This window comes from Homo sapiens, chromosome 10 (genome assembly GCF_000001405.40).
Source record: "Homo sapiens chromosome 10, GRCh38.p14 Primary Assembly".
Classification (NCBI taxonomy): Eukaryota; Metazoa; Chordata; class Mammalia; order Primates; family Hominidae; genus Homo; species Homo sapiens.
Window position 1 is genome coordinate 18,341,740 of NC_000010.11, and position 22,588 is coordinate 18,364,327.

General features: G+C 40.3%; 1 protein-coding gene across 11 annotated transcripts in view; it reads left to right on the forward strand.

The window, feature by feature from the left end:
• The window catches only part of CACNB2 (calcium voltage-gated channel auxiliary subunit beta 2), a 403,134-nt gene that overhangs the window by 201,316 nt on the left and 179,230 nt on the right, over window positions 1-22,588 (forward strand). The gene's annotated exons all lie outside the window — the stretch shown is intronic.

Genomic DNA, 22,588 nt, shown 5'->3' on the forward strand with positions numbered 1-22,588 from the left:
TTTCTAATTGTTCCAACCTATACTAAATTTAGTATAATAGAGAAAAAAATGCTTGCTAGGAAATATCTTTGTGGTCATTTCTTCTATGTTGTATCATATAAAACTGGAAACTGAGATACTTTTTATGTGATTTTGATGATTCTTTTATTAGATTTTACTTTAAGTTTTCTAAAGATACAGAATTTTACTTGCTGAGTTGGCCCTCATTAAGTATTGTACGTGACAATTCTATTTCTTTAGGTTCTGACATGGCTGGCAATGTATACACTAATTATCAACGGTTTCTGGGCATTAGATATGTCACGCCCACCTATCAAATGCTACTCATGTCCAATTTAGAAATTATTCTGTACCTGTTTGAGTACATCTGGAATCATTTCCTGTAAACTTGCTTGCTTTTTAAGAATATTATCAAACATGAAATAACTGCTATATTTTTTCCTGCAGCGGAATTCTGTGAATTACGAAAACATGTATAACCTAAAATGCAAATTGCCAAATACATTCCATTGGCCATTTTGAATATTTTCAGCAACAAAACTGGTCACAATTATGTCACAGTTATTTAATAAGAATGACAATCTATATGATATTAAATAGTCACGAGGCCAGGTATGGTGGCTCACACCTGTAATCCCAAAAGTTTGGGAGGCCAAGGTGGGAGGATCGCTTGAGGCCAGAAGCTAGAGACCAGCCTGGGCAGCATAGCAAGATCTGTGTCTACAGAAATAATAGTTATCACATGAATAATTTATCCTACAATTAATTTTAGTCCTATCTTTAAGTATCATGGGGAATCTGCACAGGGATGTTTAGTCTTTTAAATTACTTCTTTCCTAAAAATAGACTTTTTGTTTCCTATGGCCTGGCTACCTCTCATTTTAACTAATAAGTATGCTTGAATAGGGCTTATAAACACATGGATTTTTGGATTTTTGAATGGTTAAAGTTTAAAACAACTCTTTTTAAAGTCTTTATAACCATTCAACACTTTAAATTCAGTCTTTCTCAAAGTTCTCCAATAATGACAGAAATTCTTTCAAGTTTGGACAAGAATATAAATGGAGATAATTTTTTAAATTATACATATGTATATTTATATATGTATATTTATATGTGCCTGTATATGTATTATGGGATAGTTGTTTAGAATGCTGAATAAACTGTGTGGTCTTTATTTTTGTTCTAATCGCAAGTATGATTTCAGTTTTTATATCAGTTTCAGTTTATTTCAGTACCTTCTAAAGTCATTCCAAACCTCAAATGCAGGAAACACATTTAGAAATTACCCATTTAATTCTCATTGTGCATTAAAATGAAATCAATAAACCAATGCAATTTGGTGTAATTACTTTCTACCGCCAAAGGCAAATATATATAGATCAGTCTAACTAGTTTTAAGTGCATAATTTATTTATGAATCCTGGTATCATTGCATTGTAAATTTCTTGAACATGGTATCTTTAATAACTGCAATTGAGTGCCATTATTCTTAGACCCAGATGGTCACTTCCTCTCTATCCTTTCTTCCCTTCCTCCAAATAACAATGATCTCTCTGATTTGGGCAGGTTTTTTTTTATTATTATTGTTACCCGTAATTTTTGTTTTTTCTGACTGTGGTTAAGAGAAAGTATTTGGATCCAGTCAGACTTGACGTTGAATACTAAACCGTCCCCTAAATAATGGTGTGATTTGGCAGATTTTATCTTCTCTGAGCCTCAGTTTCATCATCTGTAAAATTAGGAATAATAATAACTGTGTTTCAAGATACTTGTGAGAATTTTTTAAAACGATCAGAGTACATGCATAGAATATAATTATATGGATGGCTTAGCATAGTTCCTAGAGTTATTCAGGGAAGGTGTATGCCTTCCTATATTTTCTGCAATAGCTAGGAATGAAAGAACTTAGCTCTGAAATCCCAAACTGTGATACTTCTGATAGGCAGCAAAGGAAAGTGATGAGTTGAGTTTTTATTTGCATATTGGAGGACAGGGAGAGAGATTAAATGTCCCCCTTGTGAAGTGTGACTTCTAATTGGAGACCTGTGGGTCAGCTATCAGCGGGCTGGGAGGGGAAAGCAAATACAAACGCTCTAAAACTGTGTGCAAATATTTCAGTCTCTGCATATGTGAACATTTTCTAGCTTCTGCCAATTATCAAAGTGGTCCTCAACTTCTAAATGGTAATAAATAAATAAATCTGAGTGGGCGTAAACCTGAGACAACAAATAAGATGATGATGATGAAGTATTCTAAGAAGGCTAGTAATTTTGGGTCGATTATTTTTTCTTCCTCTTTAATTTTATATTGCTCAAGCATTTATCAAAAAAAAAAAAAAAAAGAAAGTTAGCATGTGACTGTGTATTCCTGTATGTTATAAGACAAATAATGATCTAAGGCTGCAGGCTTCTACATCACTCTTCAGATATAATTTGTATTTAAATGTAAGTATAATGTCCATAAGGCCTGGTGGCTAATGTATGTACATGGAGATGCTGGCTTCAGCATCAAGAGGAGCCATCCTGTTTGATTTTACTTTGCCCCATAAAACGATCAGTTTGTGGAAAGAGTCATTTTGTGCAGTCGCAATAGAGATTTGCAGTTATTTTCATTATTAAAATTGACAAAACTTTTTTTTTTTTTTTTAAACAGAGTCTCACTCTGTCACCCAGGCTGGAGGGCAGTGACATGATCTTGGCTCACTGAAACCTCCACCTTTTGGTTAAAGTGTTTCTCCTGCCTCAGCCTCCCAAGTAGCTAGGATTACAGGCGTCCTCCACCAACCCCAGCTAATTTTTTTTGTATTTTTAGTAGAGACGGGGTTTCACCATGTTGGTCAGGCTGGTCTCGAACTCCTGACCTCAGGTGATCCACCCACCTCGGCCTCCCAAAGTGCTGGAATTACAGGTGTGAAAAGAGCTCTATCCTTCAAAGTAATTAAAGTTTTTACCACTAAAAATAGAAGAAATTGGCTGGGGGCAGTGGCTCATGCCTGAACGACACCAGCCTGGGCAACAACTCCGTCTCAAAATAAAATAATAAAATAAAATAAAACAGAAGAAATATTAAAGGAATGTGGGTGTAGGAATACCCCACAAGCTCACCATGCTGTGGTCAGATATTTTTATGCTGGCATATTGTACTGCAGTTCTTTTCTACAAGCATACATATTTTTATAGTTGTAACTGCAGTGTTCAGACAGTTGTGGGTTCTGCCTTTTTTCCTTCAACCTTATTTTGAGATCACTGTTTAATCAGATCACTGTTTAATCAGCATAATATAACATCGTGACGATCTGCCATTGATTGTCCAATAAAATGGTCATTTATTTTTGGACTTTTTAATTGATTTTATAATTTTGTTTTCATAGATAAATCTATAACAAATTTGAACATATGGTTTTCAGCTCCATTAAATAACTTATTTGAGATAAATTATCAGATGTGGAATTATTTGCACAGTGAGTGGGTTTGAATGTTCTTATAAGTCCCTGGCTATGCTTTTGATATCTTTTTTTCCAAATTCTACCAGTGGACAATGCCAGTATTATTCATATACTAATTTTATCACAATGTATGCAGTATTATGTATTAATGATTGCTTTTCATGTAAATAGTTATACAGCATTGTTTTAATTTCTGTTTAGTGGATTACTACTGAAGGTGAATATTTATATACTCTCTGTATTTCTGTGCGAATTGTTTCATTAGGCTTCCTGCATTTAGATTAATAAGTTACTTTTTATTTGTTGGATATTAACAGGCTTTCCCTCTCTCACCTTGGAACTCCCATCCGTCTGTCTCTGTATGGGGGAGCTTCTTCCTTCTTTCTTTCCTATTAAACACACTCCGCTCCCTAAAACAAAACAAAAACAATCCTTACAGAATTAACTGTGGAATAGTTTTTCCCCTATCCAATACTATGCTATCAAAATACTGTCTTTCATATAAATTTATCTTAAATTTATATTCTAATACCCTACTGGTATCTCTAGAGGTTGGCTTGAAGAAATAGAGTATTCGCATAATTAGAAATCAACAGATAGACTAGTCACAGGATTAAACCTCAGTTTCGGAATGTGGAGCAAAAAGCTTTTGACTTTATTCAGATATCTCACTTATTTTTGACAGGGAGCTAATAACCATTACGGAGAATAAGGAAAAGGTCACATCTGACCGAAGCACGCTTAGTATGAAAAGTGCATTCTGTCTCACCTTTCTGTTCATAGATTTTACATTGTCAGGGGCAGCACAAGCCAACATATCATCACATTTCTGTTGTTTCAGGGCTGGCAGGGCCTGGCAGAGACCCTGTGCCTTTGTAGCTTCCTGCAGGGCTCCCCCTCCAGTGGCCATTCAGAGATCTTCCACTCTCCTCTTAAGAGGTGGAGAACTGGAACTTTCTTTTATTTGTTTGAGGTGGAGTCTCACTCTGTTTCCCAGGCTGGAGTGCAGTGGCGCGATCTCAGCTCACTGCAACGTCTGCCTCCCGGGTTCAAACGATTCTCCTGCCTCAGCCTCTTGAGTAGCTGGGATTACAGGTGCCCGCCACCACGCCTGGCTAATTTTTGTATGTTTAGTAGAGACGGGCTTTCACCATGTTGGCCAGGCTGGTCTCAAACTCCTGACCTCGAGTTCCACTCGCCTCGGCCTCCCAAAGTGCTGGGATTACGGGCGTGAGCCACTGCACCCGGCCAGAACTGGAACTTTCTATATGGTTTTCTGGTAAGGGATCTGCTAGTATTTTGATCTTAATGTAATATCATGTCATTTGTTAATTCACAAATAGTCATCACTTTTCCTTCAACCTTTGTTCAGTTACCTAGCTTTGTTAATGTTAGTGGCTTTTTTGGGGGAGGAGGGGAGCTCGGGGGGCACAGGGTCTCACTCTGTCGCCCAGGCTGGAGTGCAGCGATATGATCTCAGCTTACTGCAACCTCCGCCTCCCAGGCTCAAGCCATCATCCCATCTCAGCCTCCCGAGTAGCTGGGACTACAGGCATGTGCCACCGCGCCTGGCTAATTTTTGTGTTTTTCGTAGAGACAAGGTTTCACTTTGTTACCCAGGCTGGTCTGAAACTCCTGAGCTCAAGTGATCCACCCTCCTTGGCCTCCCAAAGTGCTGGGATTACAGGTGTGAGCCACTGCACCTGGCCTGTTAGTGGCTTTTTGGACATCAGAGAAGAGAAAAACCTGACCCGTGAAATCACATCTAAGATCCTTAATTGTGCTGCCAACACACAAAATAGACCTGCTGCTGTCAGTCAGAAGGGGCCATACTCATTGATAAAAGTGCACCTTTTAGAAAGTCTGTTTCATACTGTTCTGTGCCGCCTAGTCTTCTTAATAGAAGAAAAAGGCTTTGATTTGAAAACATGATAGGATGGACATATCTGACTGCACTGAAAGGACAAGAACAAGATTTTATTTTATTTTATTTTATTTTTGAGACGGAGTTTCTCTCTGTTACCCAGGCTGGCAGGCTGGAGTGCAGTGGTGAGATCTTGGCTCAATGCAACCTCCGCCTCCCAGATGTAAGCAATTCTCCTGCCTCAGCCTCCTGAGTAGCTGGGACTACAGGCGCATGCCGCCATGCCCGTCTAATTTTTTTTTTTTTTTTTTTTTTTTTTTTTGTATTTTAGTAGAGACCAAGTTGCCCAGGCTTGTCACGAACTCCTGAGCTCAGGCAATCCGCCCACCTTGGCCTCTCAAAGTGCTGGGATTACAGGCTTGAGCCACCATGCCCAGCCAAGATTTTATTCTTAATTCTAGCACTGGCTCCTTAGTTTTTGAGCAAGTTGATTAACATCTCTAGGCTTTTTTTTTTCCCCCTATACAATGAAGGCAATAATTTTTATCTCTCTACTGCTCTGTCTGGAAGGCTATAAAAGCCTATACAGGTAATGCAGTATCCTTAAAGCATCTGAGAATAGCTGTCCCTAGTTTTGTCTTTACTTTGAAGCCTGAGTAATTACTTAAGGAATGTACCTTGAATCTTGAGACCATGTTTCTAACAACACAGGTATTTCTGCAACCTGAAATCTGATGAGCCTGAGATCCTTTCTGTTGGACCCAGGTTGAGGACTATTTTCGTGACTTCGCTTAATGAGATTTAATGTTCAATATAAACACTTGAAAGGAATTTTTCAAGGCTAAATTCTACATCAGAAGGTTTTGAGCGTCGTGCACAGCTCAACTTCCAAGTCTTTTACAGTGGGCTGTGAATAATTAATGCTGATTTGATATCTGGGCATTCTTTTAAAAAACGTGTATATCCACCCAAATATAACAATATAGAAAAAAGAAGAGCCTCATGATATTGCCCAAAATTTTAATGACTCACATGTGATATGCTGAGTACTATCTAGGTGAAGTTAAATGTGGCCTCTGTTGACGAAATTGCCACTTACTTGGATAACATAACAAGATAAAAACACGTTTGCAACGATGTACATTTTGAGAAATCATGAATTTCTGCATTGTAGACATAAATATTTAAAGAACTCTCCGGGTAAAAGATCAGTTGAAAATTTGGAAATTGTGGAATTCAGTTCAATTTAGAATACTTACTGAATGACAACAATTAGAGAATAATTTTGTCAAATGTCTCTTTAAAATGATTTAATTAAGATACATATGTTTGGCACTGTAGCTGGAATACAGAGGCCCAAGGTGGTTATATGGGCTAAATTTGAACTCAGAAAAAGGATGGATGGACGGACGGATGGACAGATGGATGGACAGACAGACAGACAGATAGATGGATGGATAGGTGGATAGATAGATTGTTTGAGACAGAGTCTTGCTCTGTCACCCAGGCTGGAGTGCAGTGGCCTGATCTCGGCTCACTGCAACCTCCACCTCCTGATTCTCCTGCCTCAGCCTCCCGAGTATCTGGGACTACAGGTGTGCACCACCATGCCCGGCTATTTTTGTATTTTTAGTAGAGATGGTGTTTCACCAGTTTGGCCAGGCTGGTCTGGAACTCCTGACCTCAGGTGATCCACCCGCCTTGGCCTCTCAAAATGCTGAGATTACAGGTTTGAGCCACTGTGCCCAGATACAAAGTTTATATTTTAAAGAGACCTCAGAACTAGGCCAGGCAAGATGGCTGATGCCTGTAATCCTAGCACTTTAGGAGGCCAAGGTGGGAAGATCGTTTGAGCTCAGGAGTTTGAGACCAGCCTGGGCAACATAGGGAGACCCTGTCTCTACAAATATATTTTAAAAATCAGCCACATGTGGTGGTGTGTGCCTGTGATCCCAGCTCCTTGGGAGGCTGAGGTGAGAGATCACTTGACTCCCGGAAGTTGAGGCTGCAGTGAGCTGTGATCGTGCTTCTGCACTCCAGCCCGAGTGACAGAATGAGTCCCACCAAACAGAACAAAGGGACCTCAGCCTTTCTTCACTTCTTTGTTCTTCATATGAAGGGTGGGCATTCACAGGACATTGCAGGAGGTGTGATAAGATTCAGAGTTCCCCATACAGCCTCCACTTGACCGCTTCTATTTGAAGGATGTGATGCTGTGGCTGGAACAACTGGTTGGTGAAAATGTTGTTGAAAGTCGTTTGTTTAAAGAGACCTAAAAAGAACCGTTTTCCCGGAGCTCCGGCATACTACAATGACCTAAGTTAATAGACCACAGCGAGTGTGAAGAATAATGGGTCCAATTGTTGATGCAGTATCTGCTTTTAGGCTGAGAAAATATATATTGGTTTAATTTCCACAACTGAGTTTGCCTGACTTCTCTGGGACCATTTTCCATTCCAGCAGCATAAACCTGGCTCAAAATGCCATTAAAATTGATGACAATCTGCTAGGTGAGATGAGCCAGACACAAGGAGACAAATACAGAATGACCCCACTTATATAAGGGACCTAGAATAGACTCACAGAGTCTAGAATGGTGGTTTCCAGGGGCTGGGAGAAGAGGGGAGTGGAGAGTTAGTGTCTAATGGGGACAAACTTTCAGTTGGAGATGATTTAAAAAAAAAAAAAGATCCTGGAGACAGAAGATGGTGATGGCTACCCAATAATGTGAATGTATTCAATGCCATTGAACTGTATGCTTAAAATTGGCTCAAATGGTAAATCCTATGTTATGCATATTTTGTCACAATGCTTAAAATACAATTTAATAAAAACCCACCTGTATTGCGCACGTATGTTGCATGAGGCCAAATGCTTTATATCTATTATTATTATTTTTAATTCCGTAACAGCTGGGTGCGGTGGCTCATGCCTGTAATCCCAGCACTTTTGGAGGACGAGGTGGGTGGATCACCTGAGGTCAGGAGTTTGAGACCAGCCTGGCCAACATGGTGAAACCCTGTCTCTACTAAAAATACAAAAAATTAGCCAGGCATGGTGGCGAGTGCCTGTAATCCCAGCTACTCAGGAGGGTGAGGCAGGAGAATCGCTTGAACCCAGGAGATGGAGGTTGCAGTGAGCCGAGATTGTGCCATTGCACTCCAGCCTGGGCAACAAGAGCAAAACTCAGTCTCAAAAAAATTTTTTTAAAATAATAAAAATAATAATAATAATTCTCATAACAACCCAGTGAAGTAGACACATGATCATCTCTAGTTGGCAGATAAAGCATCTCAGCACAGTCAAGTTTGTCACTAGCGTGGGGTCCCACAGGTGTCCGTGGAAAAAGCAGGAATTGGAAGCAAAAGGGCAGCCTCTTCCATGCACGCAGCCCACACAGCACTGCCTGTGCCTCCTTGTTGTTTTTGTTTGTTTTGCCTCTGGTGACTGCACTTTCTAATGGCCCCAGCTGCTAGAGCAGCCGACGTTCCCTCAGGAGTAGCGCTTTAGGTTCCCTTAATCTTCACCCAGGGGTACCTCCTTGACCTTGAACCCTGCAGGTCCTGTAGCAGGAGGTGAGATTGCCCATCAGCCCTCCAGGAGTCCACCAGACCTGGCAGGCCTTCATGCAGCAGAACAAAAGGCCAGCTGTTTATTTCCTAGGCAGAGTTCATGAAAATCACCCCATGGGTGTGATACCAAGATCATCTTAAAATTAACTTGTGTTTTAAAAACCATTTTCTGTTTGGTTTTTTAGTGGTGGTGGTTGTTTTTGAGACAGGGTCTCGTTCTGCCGTCCATGCTGGAGTGCAGTGGCACAATCATAGTTCACTGTGGCCTTGTACTCCTGAGCTCAAGCCGTCATCTATCACAGTTAAAAACCATTTTTAATCTTCTCTAAACAAGTAACTTTTCTTAACATAGTTTTCAATCTTCTAGAATGATCAACTAGAATTTTTTTAAATGAGCTGCTTTTTTCTTATTATATGCCAGCTACTTTTTGGAAAAACAATAGCATAGAGTCATTCTCACAGGAGAATGTATATAAAAACAAAGTAAATATATTTTTATAAAGATCACATGTACACCCTTTCTTTTCTTTTTTTTTTTTTCTTTTTTGCTAAAATGTGTATTTATAACCAGATTTCTCATCAGGCTTTCTTGGGATCTTTAAAATATGTTTCTTTTGCAAATATAGGCTTAGGACTAAATATATTCTGTATCCCGTCATCATGTTGTATTACAGATGAGAAGACAATTAATTCTGTGATAAAGTATCATAAGGCAAGAAAGAAGGTGCTTGGGGAAATTGGACTGTGCTAGAGATCTTTTCTGATTCTGCAATATACTACGTATTCAGTGATCTGCTATATACAATGATTACTGTCTCTTTACATTCTTCTACCTATATTTTTTAATTGGGTGAGATGATGAACTGGAAAATGATTTGCTACATCCAGAAATTTCAAAGCATTCTTAAGGATTTTGTTGAAAACACATGTTATTCTATTGTTACCGTTTTCTGCCTTTTTCACTCTACCATGGAAAACCAGATGGTCTGTACAAGCCGAGAGAAATAATTTCCAACCCAGTGTATTTGCATAATTTCCTCTCTGCCCTTAATCTGGAACAAAAGGAAACAAAATGAATTGAGTTCAGCATAATAAACTAGATTGGTTCTTAATTACAGAATTAGGAAAGTTTTTCACATAATTTAAGATTCTTTGGTTGTATTGCTTTCAAAGTTAGAGAAAGTCTCTTTTAAAGTGTGATTTCTATTAGAGGCTTTTTTTCCTGATGAATTCATTGATTCAACAAGTCAAAATGGGTGACAGTTTTTGCAAACCAAAGGAAGAGAGTGATGACATTTAAAACACATATATAGACATAGAGAATTTCAAATGTTCTACACTCCTGCTGCTCTCTCAAGGCGTGTTCAGAGTCTCCTAAAAAGGATGTTTGACCTGTTTGCAGAGCTCTGACAGATGATATTTTGACAGGTCTATTTCTTCTGCGTGTTCAATGCAATGCCCAAGATGAATAGGCATTCAACCTAAAAGTACAACTTAAAAGTACATTTTTGCATCCAAGCCAGCCTCTGCGTACTTCATTCTTATCCTTATATAAGGGTAAGATATTTGATATTCTGATAATCCTGTTACCTTTCTGATCGCATGAGTTGAGTGGACTTCCACGCATCACGTCCCATGACAGGGCTCCTCTGTGAAGCAGGGAAAAAGCATGGCATCTGATCTCCTTAATTCTTACAACACCAACAGAACATAATTACTTTATCATACAGGGCTATGAAGATAGCACATGTCACCACTGTATGAAAGCTCTTAGGTTGTGGAATTTAGTCTAATGTTATCATGGAAGAGTACTGAAATAGGGAACAGTAGGGTTGATAAATAGAGAAAGAAAAGAGAAACCAGGAATAATCAGTGAATGATAAGCAAGTAACATGGTTTAAAAGCATTCCAGGAGTTCCATTTTTAAGCACTCTTGTTTACTTAGTTTTGCTACCCACTTGTTGCTTTGGAAGAGTTTCTATTAATTAGATGTCATTTTTCAAAAGTGCGTACTTAATTGTTATATGAATTACAAGGGACTGCATAGGTTTCGTTGCAAAAATGTTTTTCAAGGAACACTTAGAGGAAACATGCTTCGTAGCATTTCATAGTATATGACATTTTTAAGGGAGAATGCTTTACATGTAATATGTAGCACAATTTGGAATTATTAGTATATTGGATTTTCTCATGTTCTGGGCAAATGAAGGAACATATATGTTTGTATCAATAAAAGCTGTGAACAGAATATGTGAGCATATTTTGAATCCATCAAATGTATTACATCACCTCTAGTAAAGCTATAAATTATAGAATACTTTAATAAAGTTATTTTTCTTATTCATGAAATATTATGTCTGGTAGCAGGAAAATGTGATCTGTTCAGAAAAAGGATAATGAAAGAAATCTTTTATTAGAGAAATATGATTGCTATACAATAATGTGGCCTACATTTAATTCTACATGTTTTAAAATTAGAATTGGGCTTTAAAAATTTATGGTTCTATGCCAGGTGCGGTGGCTCATGCCTGTAATCCCAGCACTTTGGGAGGCCGAGGCAGGTGGATCACAAGGTCAGGAGTTCGAGACCACCCTGGCCAAGATGGTGAAACCCCATATCTACTAAAAATACAAAAATTAGCCGGGCACAGTGGTGGGCACCTGTAATCCCAGCTACTCTGGAGGCTGAGGCAGGAGAATCGCTTGAACCTGGGAGGCAGAGTTTGCAGTGAGCTGAGATTGTGCTGCTGCACTCTAGCCTGGGCAACAGAGCAAGACTCTGTCTCCAAAAAAAAAAAAAATTATGATTCTATATGAAACGTACGTTTGTATGGACTTGGAAAAGTCTTAGTTAAGGACATAGGCCTTCTCAACTCTTTTTAACTCTGTAACTTTATGATATAAACAAAATATGTAAGCATTTCTTCACAGTTCGCCGATCTACGTTGATTCAGTATAAGGTACACATCAAAGTAAAATTAACCAAAGACTCTAATTTGAGGGAATAATAAGGCACATGGTTGATAAGAAAGAATACAATATTCCAGGGGTTATGAACTATTAGCATTTCTGATTCATGGCAATCCAATTTGAGAGTATAAATTTGGATTACCAGCTTAGTTCTGAAAAACTTTCTTTATACTGCTCTATGGCAGCTGAGGGCTTCCGGTTCATCACATGTATCTGTTTAGTCTGCTAACTCTGACAAAAGCCATTATCTATTTTTTTTGCCCAAAGGCATTATAAGGAAATAGTATGAGCAAAGTTTTCTTTCTAGTATAAACAATAAATCTTACTAGCCATTGGGCAAACTCATATTCTGGTGAATATTTGAAAAAGCTTGGCACTCATTAATACCAGCAAGTGTCCAGTAGCTTGATGAGTACTTTATAGTATTTAAATGGAATGTATAGTCTGTCAAAAAACTATAGTAGGCCTTAATTAGCTGGGTGACATTGGACAAATTATCCAGAGTCAAATCCCTGAGAGTCAATTTGCTTATCTTTTCATTTGGAGTAATAATGATGTATGACCCCTATAGACCTCAAGGCTCAAATATAATTTGAAAATCTTAAAAATAGCAAAGCACTGTATGATAATGAGGTATTAATCATTTAACAAACACTTGTTAAGTGTTAGCTCCTTTTTTTCCTCCTGACTTGGGCCCTTAAACTGCTTGCCTGTCTTGGGAAGAGTCTCCTTGGTGAGGTCCTATGAGAACTTTCCACTGTGCCTGGTCCCAACCACCACCCAACTCTCCACCCTTCCACCAACTTGTGCTGGCCTTGAAAAGGTCAGAAGGCTGTTGGAAGAGTCCTGGGGAGAGAAACATGGCAGCCGAGCGCAAGACAGTTATGGTGGGGCCTAGAGAGGAGCCAGATGTCATGGTGTGGTTGATTGTGTTGGATGAAGCTGAGGTCACAGAAGATGAAGGCTGAAAGGAAAGCTAGGGTTATTTTGTGGTGTTTTTGTTGTTGTTGTTGCTGTTTTTGCTTGTATGTTTGTTTCTCAATTACAACTATAGGGATGGGGGAACTATCTTTAGAGGAGTCTCAGGACCCAGCAGGCCCAACAACAGAGGAGTGGGGACTTCTGAGAAGTCTGGCAGAGCAGGTGATGGGCAGTAGCTTTTCCGGTTCTGAAAATATCTGCATAATCTACACAGGGGTCAGCAGGGTTCAGAGAATTAACCTAAAGCACAACCATAAAACCATGTGTGGTTTCTTTCTTCAAAGTCACATCTGAAGCTCAATATTACAGGTTGAGCATTCCAAATCCAAAAATCCGAAATCCAAAACTTTTTGAGTACTTACGTAGGCTAGAGACACCTTTGCTTCCTGATGGTTCAACGTACACAAACTTTGTTTCATGCACAAAATTATTTAAAATATCATGTAAATTACCTTGAGGCTATATGTATAAAGTGTACATGAAACATTAATGAATGTTGTATTTAGACTTGAGTTCCATCCCCAATGTAGCTCATTACATACATGCAAATATTCCGAAATCCAAATAAAATTTGAAATCTGAAACACTTCTGTCCCAGGCATTTCAGGTAAGGGATACTCTGCATGTACACTCTAAGTGTTTCAGGGTGCTTAACATAGTACTTCTATCATTTCTTGTTATTTGAGCTTTCTAGATTTTGGAGTTCTGGATGAGAAGCTTATCTTTTACAAACATTACTTGTAGTTATTCTTTTCCAGGTATAAACCTAGGTAGAAAAAAGTTGTTATAATGAAAAGAAAAATGTATCGTCGTTTTTTTAAAAATGGGACTTCTATATGTAACTAACGATTTGGTGTTAGTGTGAGCTATGATTTGTTCTCAGGATCATGAATGATATCACACAAATGATTACGACACTTGAATAAATGTGGCCTTTATTTAATTTTTTGATGCTATTGCAGAGCTGCTGCTAACATTCAGTCCTAGTTATAATCACAAAAGTATCTGCCATAAGCCCAGCTGATTAGGCTCTGCAAGTTTGATCTGATTTTTCTCTTTTTTTTTTTTTTTTATTTTTTTGAGACAGAGTCTTGCTCTGTCGCCCAGGGTGGAGTACAGTGGCGCGATCTCGGCTCGCTGCAACATTTGCCTCCTGGGTTCAAGCAATTCTCTGCCTCAGCCTCCCGAGTAGCTGGGATTACAGGTGCCTGCCACCACGCCTGCCTCATTTTTTTGTATTTTTAGTGGAGACAGGATTTCACCATCTTGACCAGACTGGTCTTGAACTCCTGGCCTCATGATCCACCCGCCTCTGCCTCCCAAAACACTGGGATTACAGGCGTGAGCCACCATGCCCGGCCTCTGATTTTTTATTCTCCTCTGTAATGTCCGAGTCAACTAACATGCACATAAAATATGCAAAAAACCCCACAACTTTCTGGAAGGTTTCTGTAAGGATTGCTCCACGGAGACTCTGGCACCCCAAGGCTGCAGGCCCCTGGAGGTCCCAGGAGACCTGGATCTCTGCCCACTGCCCCATGCATTGACACAGCCCTCCCTTCCCACCTTCCCCGCTGTAATATTGCTTACCCATCTTGATTCCTTCAAGGATGAAGCTGCCATAGGCTGGGCCTCTGCTCCTGCTTTTTTCTGATGCTTCATTCATGCAACTATCCCAACTGCCCAGCACCCACTTTGCATCACGCTAGCTCTGGGCACCATCAGGAAGCCCACTGTCTATACCCTGTGCTCTGTCTCACTCCACCTCATCATCACTGCTTATTTTCCTCACTTTCTCCAGCAAGCCAACTTCTTTCCACCTTTCTGGTCTTGCTGGATTATTATTATTGTTGTTGTTATTATTTTAAACCTGGAATATTCCTCCCTGCCCTTTACTTTGATCCTAAACATCTCTGTGGTTCTGCAGAAAAGCTTTTCCTGACTACATTGCACAAAGGAGCTTCTCCCATTATTCACATCACCCAGTTTGCTTCGTATAAATGTAATTATTTGACCAGCAGTTTACATTTTGATCCTCTCTCCTCTCGTCTCTTTTTCTCCTTCATTTTTTTTTTTAACAGAGTCTTACTCTATTGCCCAAGCTAGAGTGCACTGACATGATTGCAGCTCACTGCAGCCTTGACCTCGAGGGCTCAAGCAATCCTCCCATCTCAGCCTCCAAGTAGCTGGAACCACAGGCACATGCCACCATGCCTGGCTAATTTTTTTATATTTTGTAGGGGTGAGGTTTCCCCATGTTGCCCAGGCTGGTCTCGAACTCCTGGGCTCAAACGATCCTCCTGCCTCAGCTTCCCAAAGTGCTGGGATTACAGGCTTGAGCCACTGTGCCTGGCCCAGACTCAATTTCTTTTTTTTTTTTTTTTTTTTGAGACGGAGTTTCGCTCTGTCGCCCAGGCTGGAGTGCAGTGGCGCGATCTCGACTCACTGCAAGCTCCGCCTCCCGGGTTCACGCCATTCTCCTGCCTCAGCCTCCCGTGTAGCTGGGACTACAGGCGCGCACCACCATGCCCGGCTAATTTTTGTATTTTTAGTAGAGACGGGGTTTCACCGTGTTAGCCAGGATGGTCTCGATCTCCTGACCTCGTGATCCGCCCGTCTCGGCCTCCCAAAGTGCTGGGATTACAGGCGTGAGCCACCGCGCCCGGCTGACTCAATTTCTTTTACCTGTATTTCAGCACTCGTCCTTTATCATCCTGAAGTGAAATGTATAGTTAATGCAAACAACCAACACACAAATTTTTAAAAACCATTTGGGTCAAAATACTGACCCAATGAATAAAAAGATTAATTTATTCTCTGGTAATGTGTATTTCAATGGGTTATTATGCTGGCATAACCACACTAGAAAATGTGAGGAAGCAGTTCCATGGATAGGGCCACTGCATGGACGGATTAGCGGTGATGTACACCTACAGGTGTGCGGCTATTAAAGACAATAGTTAACAATTTGGTAAAGTTCCAAACAAAGTACAATCTTTCATTGATTGTCACAGTACTTTCATTTCTGGAAAATTCAGTATATTTTACAACTATGCGAAAAGACTTGTACTCATATCCAAAAAAAGATTTAGATTCTAGGTTCAGATAATTTTATATTTTTCGCCCACATGAATTCCAGCAGGATAGTCAAAGATCGTGAGAGGAGGTGCACATCCATCTTATAATCACATAGGATTGCTGTGTAAAATGCAAACAGGTGTATTCCTAGCCACTGTGTACAAGCATCCTGTAATGCTTCTCAGTCATTGAAACAACCAAAAATCCAGCAGTACCTTTCTGGAACACTCCTTTTGGGGACCCATTAGTTTAGACGATAAACTCCTTAAGCTCCTCCTGCATGGCGGGCAGGAATCATATTTGCCTCATCTACTATACAAGCCTCAACATCCAGCACATCATTGTCGCAGTGCATGGCAAATATTTAAAGAAGGAATAAACGAATGAGTGAATGGAAAGGAATACGCAGAAACAGGAAAACACATTCATCCATTCAATTGATTGATTAACTGGAGACAGAGTCTCACTCTGTCACCCAAGCTAGAGGGCAGTGGCACGATCTCAGCTCACTGCAATGTCTGTTTCCCAGGTTCAAGTGATTCTCCTGCCTCAGGCTCCTGAGGAGCTGGTACCACAGACACGCGCTACCACGCCTGGCTATTTTTTTGTGTTTTTAGTAGAGATGGGTTTTCACCATGTTGGCCAGGCTGTTCTCAAACTCCTGGCCTCAAGTGATCCACCCACCTCAGACTCCCAGAGTCCTGGGATTACAGGTGTGAGCCACCATGCCTGGCCCATCTATTCAATGTATAAATGTTTACTGAGCAACTAGTATATGCTACCTGCTGTTCTAGAACCTAGGAATACAGCAATGAATGAGGGAAATTCCTTTTCTAATGAGCACGCTCTCTCTCTCTCTCTCTCTCTCTCTCTCTCTCTCTCTCTCTCTCTCTCTCTCTCGCTCTCTCTCTCTCTCTCTGGAACTGCTTTGTGATTGCAGTATGACATCTGGTTTTCCTATACAGGTACAAGGTGGCTGTGCTTGAGACATGCCAAGTTTTTTTTAACTCAGAATACTTACCATATAAATAGAGCAATAGAGTATGATAGACAAAGCTGGCTAGGAAATAAAAAGCAGTGGAAGGAATTCAGTTTGATGACAAAGAAGTGTGAATTGCCCTTAAGAAACAAACAATAGAATAAAATGAGAGCCTGAAAATAAATAACTTGGTTATTTATAGATTTCTTGTGTCTGTCAATACAGCATCACAGACCAAAACATTTAAATTCAGGGGTTTTGTTGTTGCTGCTGTTCTTTTCATAAATATGGCCATATTAGAAAAACTTTACATGGCGTTTTTCTCTTATGCAATCTTTTTTATGTAGCAGTTTCCTGGGAAATGTTATGTCAGCTTTAATACAGGCCTGAATTTAACTGGCAAATAGTGACACAAATTGTCATGATGGAAAAGTAACATGTTGGGGGTTTTAATAACCACTGAAATACTGATAGCCATTTTCTTTTTTTTTTAACTTCTACGTTATTTAGGGACCTATTTTGCAGACATAACCTTAAACTAAAATATCCCGTGTCCATTGAGAAGCCTACCCCCACAAAAATAAATAAATAGATGTGGGAATGATATTTGGAGTTTGTGAGTAATGTTTGTTTTGTTTTTTGTTTGTTTGTTTGTTTTGACACAGGGTCTCCTTCTGTCACCCAGGCTAGAGTGCAGTGGCGCCATCTCGGCTCACTGCAACCTCTGCCTCCCAGGTTCAAGTGATTCTCCCACCTCAGCCTCCAGAGTAGCTGGGACTACAGGTGTGTGCCACCATGCCCGGCTAATTTTTTTTTATTTTTAGCAGGGATGAGATTTTATCATGTTGGCCAGGCTCGTCTTGAATTCCTGACCTAAAGTGATCCACCCACCTTGGCCTCCCAAAGTGTTAGGATTACCAGCATGAACCACCACACCCAGCCTGAAGCTTATAAGTAACATTCTGTTTTGTTTTTTTTTTTCTTTTTCATACTTTAAGTTCTGGGGTACACGTGCAGAACATGCAGGTTTGTTGCATAGGTATACATATGCCATGGTGGCTTGCTGCACCCATCAACCTGTGATCTACATTAGGTATTTCTCCTAATGCTGTCCCTCCTCTAGCCCCCCACCCCCCAGCAGTCCCCAGTGTGAGATGTTCTTAAACTGGCATGTTTCTTGGCCACATCTCTTGAATTTTAATTATTGTACTTTGAATTATTTTGATGTTAAGATTAACTTTTATGCTTATGCTTATTGCTGTCGTGAGTGGTACTAAAGAGTCCTGGGTTGTAAATTGAGCCACGAGTGCAAAGAGGAAATTAAACTATTCTATATTCAAATTAAGCCATAAACATAGGAACTGGACTCTATACTGGGGAGGGCGGGTAAGAACAGTACAGGAGCATAGGGTGATCCAGCGTCACACAGAGCAGGTGCTCAGGAAAGACATCAATAAACTGCCGATGAATCAACATTGTAAGAACAGGGGAATGAACTTTGAAGTTTCTTTGACATCAGTTATTCCAACAACCTCAGAAATAGGTGCTGCCTCCTCTCCTATATAAAGGAGGAAACTGAGGCACAAAGAGTTCAGTTTAGGTTTATTTTAAGAGACAGAGTCTCACTCTGTTGCCTAGGCTGGAGTGCAGTAGAGCAATAATTACAGCTTACTGCAGCCTCAAACTCCTGGGCTCAAGCGATCCTCTTGCCTCAGCCTCCTGAGTAGCTGGGACTACATGTGTGCACCACTATACCTGGCTAATTTTGTTTTTTGTAGGGATGGAATCTCACTTTGTTGCCCGGGCTGATCTTAAATCCTGGCTTCAAGGGATCCTCAGGCCTCAGCCTCACAAAGTGCTGGGATTACAGGCATGCACCACTGCACCCAGCCTTATTTTGTTGTTAAGGCAATATTTATGCTGTGTTTCTAATAATTCACTTATCACTCACAAGAGTCCTGTGAGGCAGACCTATTGTTTTTATTTCACAGAGAAGAAAACTGAGGCACAGAACTTTAAGTGGCAGCTTTGATCACGGGGCTAAGATATGGTGGCCACACATAGTCATGAGTGAGGAGAGCAGGCTCCATAACTTGTCCTCTTAGACGACTTGCTGGCTGTATATTCCCCTGCATCTGGGGTGTCAGATTATGCACCTGCTGAATACACAGCCAGCAAGGAGCAGAACAGGACTGTCTGATTTCAAAATCTATGTCCTTTCCCCTATCCTTAGCTGCAAAACCAGTGATATTCCCTACTCACTGTGGGAAGAAGCATGAATGCCTTCCTAATCATCAAAGCCAAGAGGTTTTGTCCACAATTCAAATTCCTGCTGACCTTTCTTTTCTGTTCATTGTTCATCCCTCCTTCATCTCATTGTGGTTTTTTTCCTGCCTCCTACTTCTCTGAGCATGACCTCTCATTCTTCTCTGACTTTTCCCCCATCTACTAAATGTGTGTGTTCCCTTAAGTTTTATCTTAAACTCTCTTTATTCTTTTATCTGCTTGGAGCATCTGTGTCTTAGCATTCTCCTCTACTTCCCGGGCTCATCCATTACCTTTATGTAGCCATCCTAAAGTAGACTTTTCAAAAATTCCACCTGTAATCCCAGCAACTGGGGAGGCTGAGGTGGAAGGATCGCTTGAGCCCAGGAGTCCAAGACCAGCTGGCAACTTAATGAAGCCCTGTCTCTACAAAAAATTAAAAAAAAAAAAAAAATAGCTGTGCATGATGGTGCATGCTTGAAGTCCCAGCAACTTGGGAGGCTGAGGCTGGAGAATCGCTTGAATCCAGGAGGTGGAGGTTGCAGTGAGCCAAGATCGCACCACTGCACTCCAGCCTGGGCAACAAAGCAAGACTCTATCTCAAAAAAAAAAAAAAGAAAGAAAGAAAAAACAATTCCAGTCATATAAGTCCAATTGCTTATCATACATTTCTCCACGGTTGTTATATTACTGTTATCCTGTCTAAGGTAAAATTCTTTTTTTTTTTTTTTTTCGAAACATAGTCTTGCTCTATTGCTCCGGCTGGAGTGCAAGTGGCATGATCTCAGCTCACTGAAACTTCCACCTTCCGGGTCAAGTGATTCTCCCATCTCAGCCTCCTGAATAGCGGGGATTACAGGTGCATGCCATCATGCCTGGCAAATTTTTGTATTTTTAGTAGAGATGGGGTTTCACTACCTAGGCCAGGCTGGTCTTGAACTCCTGACCTCAAGCAATCTGCCCGCCTCTACCTCCCAAAGTGCTGGGATTACAGGCGTGAGCCACCACACCCAGCCTAAGGTAGCATTCTTAATTGCTGTTTCCCAAAACCAACCCCTGTTTCTAACTTCCATATTATTACTGCTACACATTTTTTTATATTTTTTATATTTTGTAGGGATGAGGTTTTCCCATGTCGCCCAGGCTGATCTCAAGCTCCTGGGCTCAAGCAATCCTCCTGCCTCAGCTTCCCAATGGGTAGCAGATATAAGACAATTTGTTTAACAATTAACACTCAGTTTATCTAGCAGTGGTTCACCTAATGATTGAAGCCTCTTTCGAGTGTTTTTGTATACATGCATACATCCTATTCTTTTCAGCCATATTGTTTTTCTTGTTAAGGACTTCTTAAACATGCTTATTAAAACATTTTCAACTTAATTTGTATTTCTAAAAAGTCATGATGAATTTTGTTTCAGTTATAGCTATTAAGGGTTTTCTAAAGATCCTCTCTTCAAAATGTTTTGTTAGGAGCAATAGATATTTGTAAAATTTATGAAAATTTGACTAGTTTTTTCTAATTCTTTACATTGTGTGATTACTGTTTCCTCCTTGTTTTTTTCCCCCAAGTGATTATATTAGTATTCTATTTTTGTCATTTTAGAGAATGGACACAGAAGTCACCATAGGTGAATTGACTTAAAATCTTTTAAGTATAAGAAAAATAGCAAAAATGATAACCTGCGAAGTGGGTGATCAATTTTTTAAGTCCATAACGTGTTAAAAGTCCATAACAAATATTGCCATAGAAAATGCATGTAGAGGCTGGGCGCCGTGGCTCACGCCTGTAATTCCAGCACTTCGGGAGGTCAGGAATTTGAGACCAGCCTGGCCAACATGGTGAAAACCCGTCTCTACCAAAAATGTACAAAAATGGTGGCACATGCCTGTAGTCCCAGCTACTTGGGAGGCTGAGGAGAGAGAATCACTTGAACCCGGCAGGTGGAGGTTGCAGTGAGCTGAGATCGCTGACACTGCACTCCAGCGTGGGCGACAGAGTGAAACTCTGTTTAAAAAAAAACAGAAAAACAAAAGAAGGAAAAGGAAATGCAAGTAGAATGTTAGACCAGGTCTTCATTAAGTGACTTCATTAACTCTGGGCTAATTGGCTCTACCTGTGAGCAAAAGCTGATTGTCTGTGTTGAAGACAGTTTATCCACCTGTCTCTCCTCTCTGTCATAGTCACATGTTGCCTCTCCCCCATCTTCTCTGCTCACACATCTCAGAAGCTCCTAACCAGCTTTTCTTCCCATGAACAGTAAAATAGGTTTCCTAAATAAAGATTTTGACATCCCAGCCCCTTGTGTTAAAATCTGGGATGGCTCATTATTTACAAGATCAATTTCAAAAGTATTAGCCTGGCGTTCCAGGCTCTCAACAGGATGGATGGCTCAGGCTTGGCTTTTCAGACATAACACCTATGGTTTCTGTACAAGCACCAAGCAGCACGTCTACTCACTTGAGGATGTCTTGTACCCAGTCACCCCCGCTTTCTTCCTGGTTGAAATCCTGTCGCCCCATGGGGCCTTCTCTGTTCCCCATGGAAGCTTCATCCTCTGATCCTCAGTGCCATATGGTATTTGTTGTGCTGGTTATTTCTTGACATGTCTGTCTTATGCTTTCAAAGAGTGTGCACTCTCTGAAGGTTCAGCATGAAACTACCAGTACCTTCCATTCCCTTCAGTCTTCTATTCTAGTAAGCTCAAAGCTAGCAGTTCAAAGCTAGTATTTAATAGCATGTTTAAAATATGTATATGACTAGACAATGTGGCCAAAGGAAGTGTCTGAGCCAGAGGGTCTGAATTCAGGTCTTTGTCTAACATACTCATTATAGCTGTGTGACACTTGGTATGGCACCTAACCTCTCTGGAAATCAGTTCTTTTTTTTTTTTCTTTAAATAGTAAGGATAGTTATACCAATCAAATAGGTTTGGTTTAAAAACAGATCATTTTGGATAAGTGCATTCTATATCATAAACTGCTTTAAAAATGTTAATACTGGCAATATTTTTATTAATGCTGTTGCGAATAGTAGGGTCTTGAAGGCAGTTTAATTTTTTTTTTTTTTTTTTAGATGATGTTTTGCTCGTTGCCTAGGCTGGAGTACAATGGCACAATCTAAGCTCACTGAAACCTCCGCCTCCCGGGTTCAAGTGATTCTCCAGCCTTGCCTCCTGAGTAGTTGGGATTACAGGCGCCTGCTACCACACCCAGTTGATTTTGTATTTTCAGTGGAGATGGGGTTTTGCCACTTTGGCCAGGCTGGTCTTGAACTCCTGACCTCAGGTGATCAGGTGATCCACCCACCTCAGCCTCTCAAAGTGCTGGGATTACAGGCATGAGCCGCGGTGCCTGCCTTCTACATGCGTTTTCTATAGCAATATTTGTTATGGATTTTTAACTAATTTTTTTTTTTTTTCTGGGAGATAGAG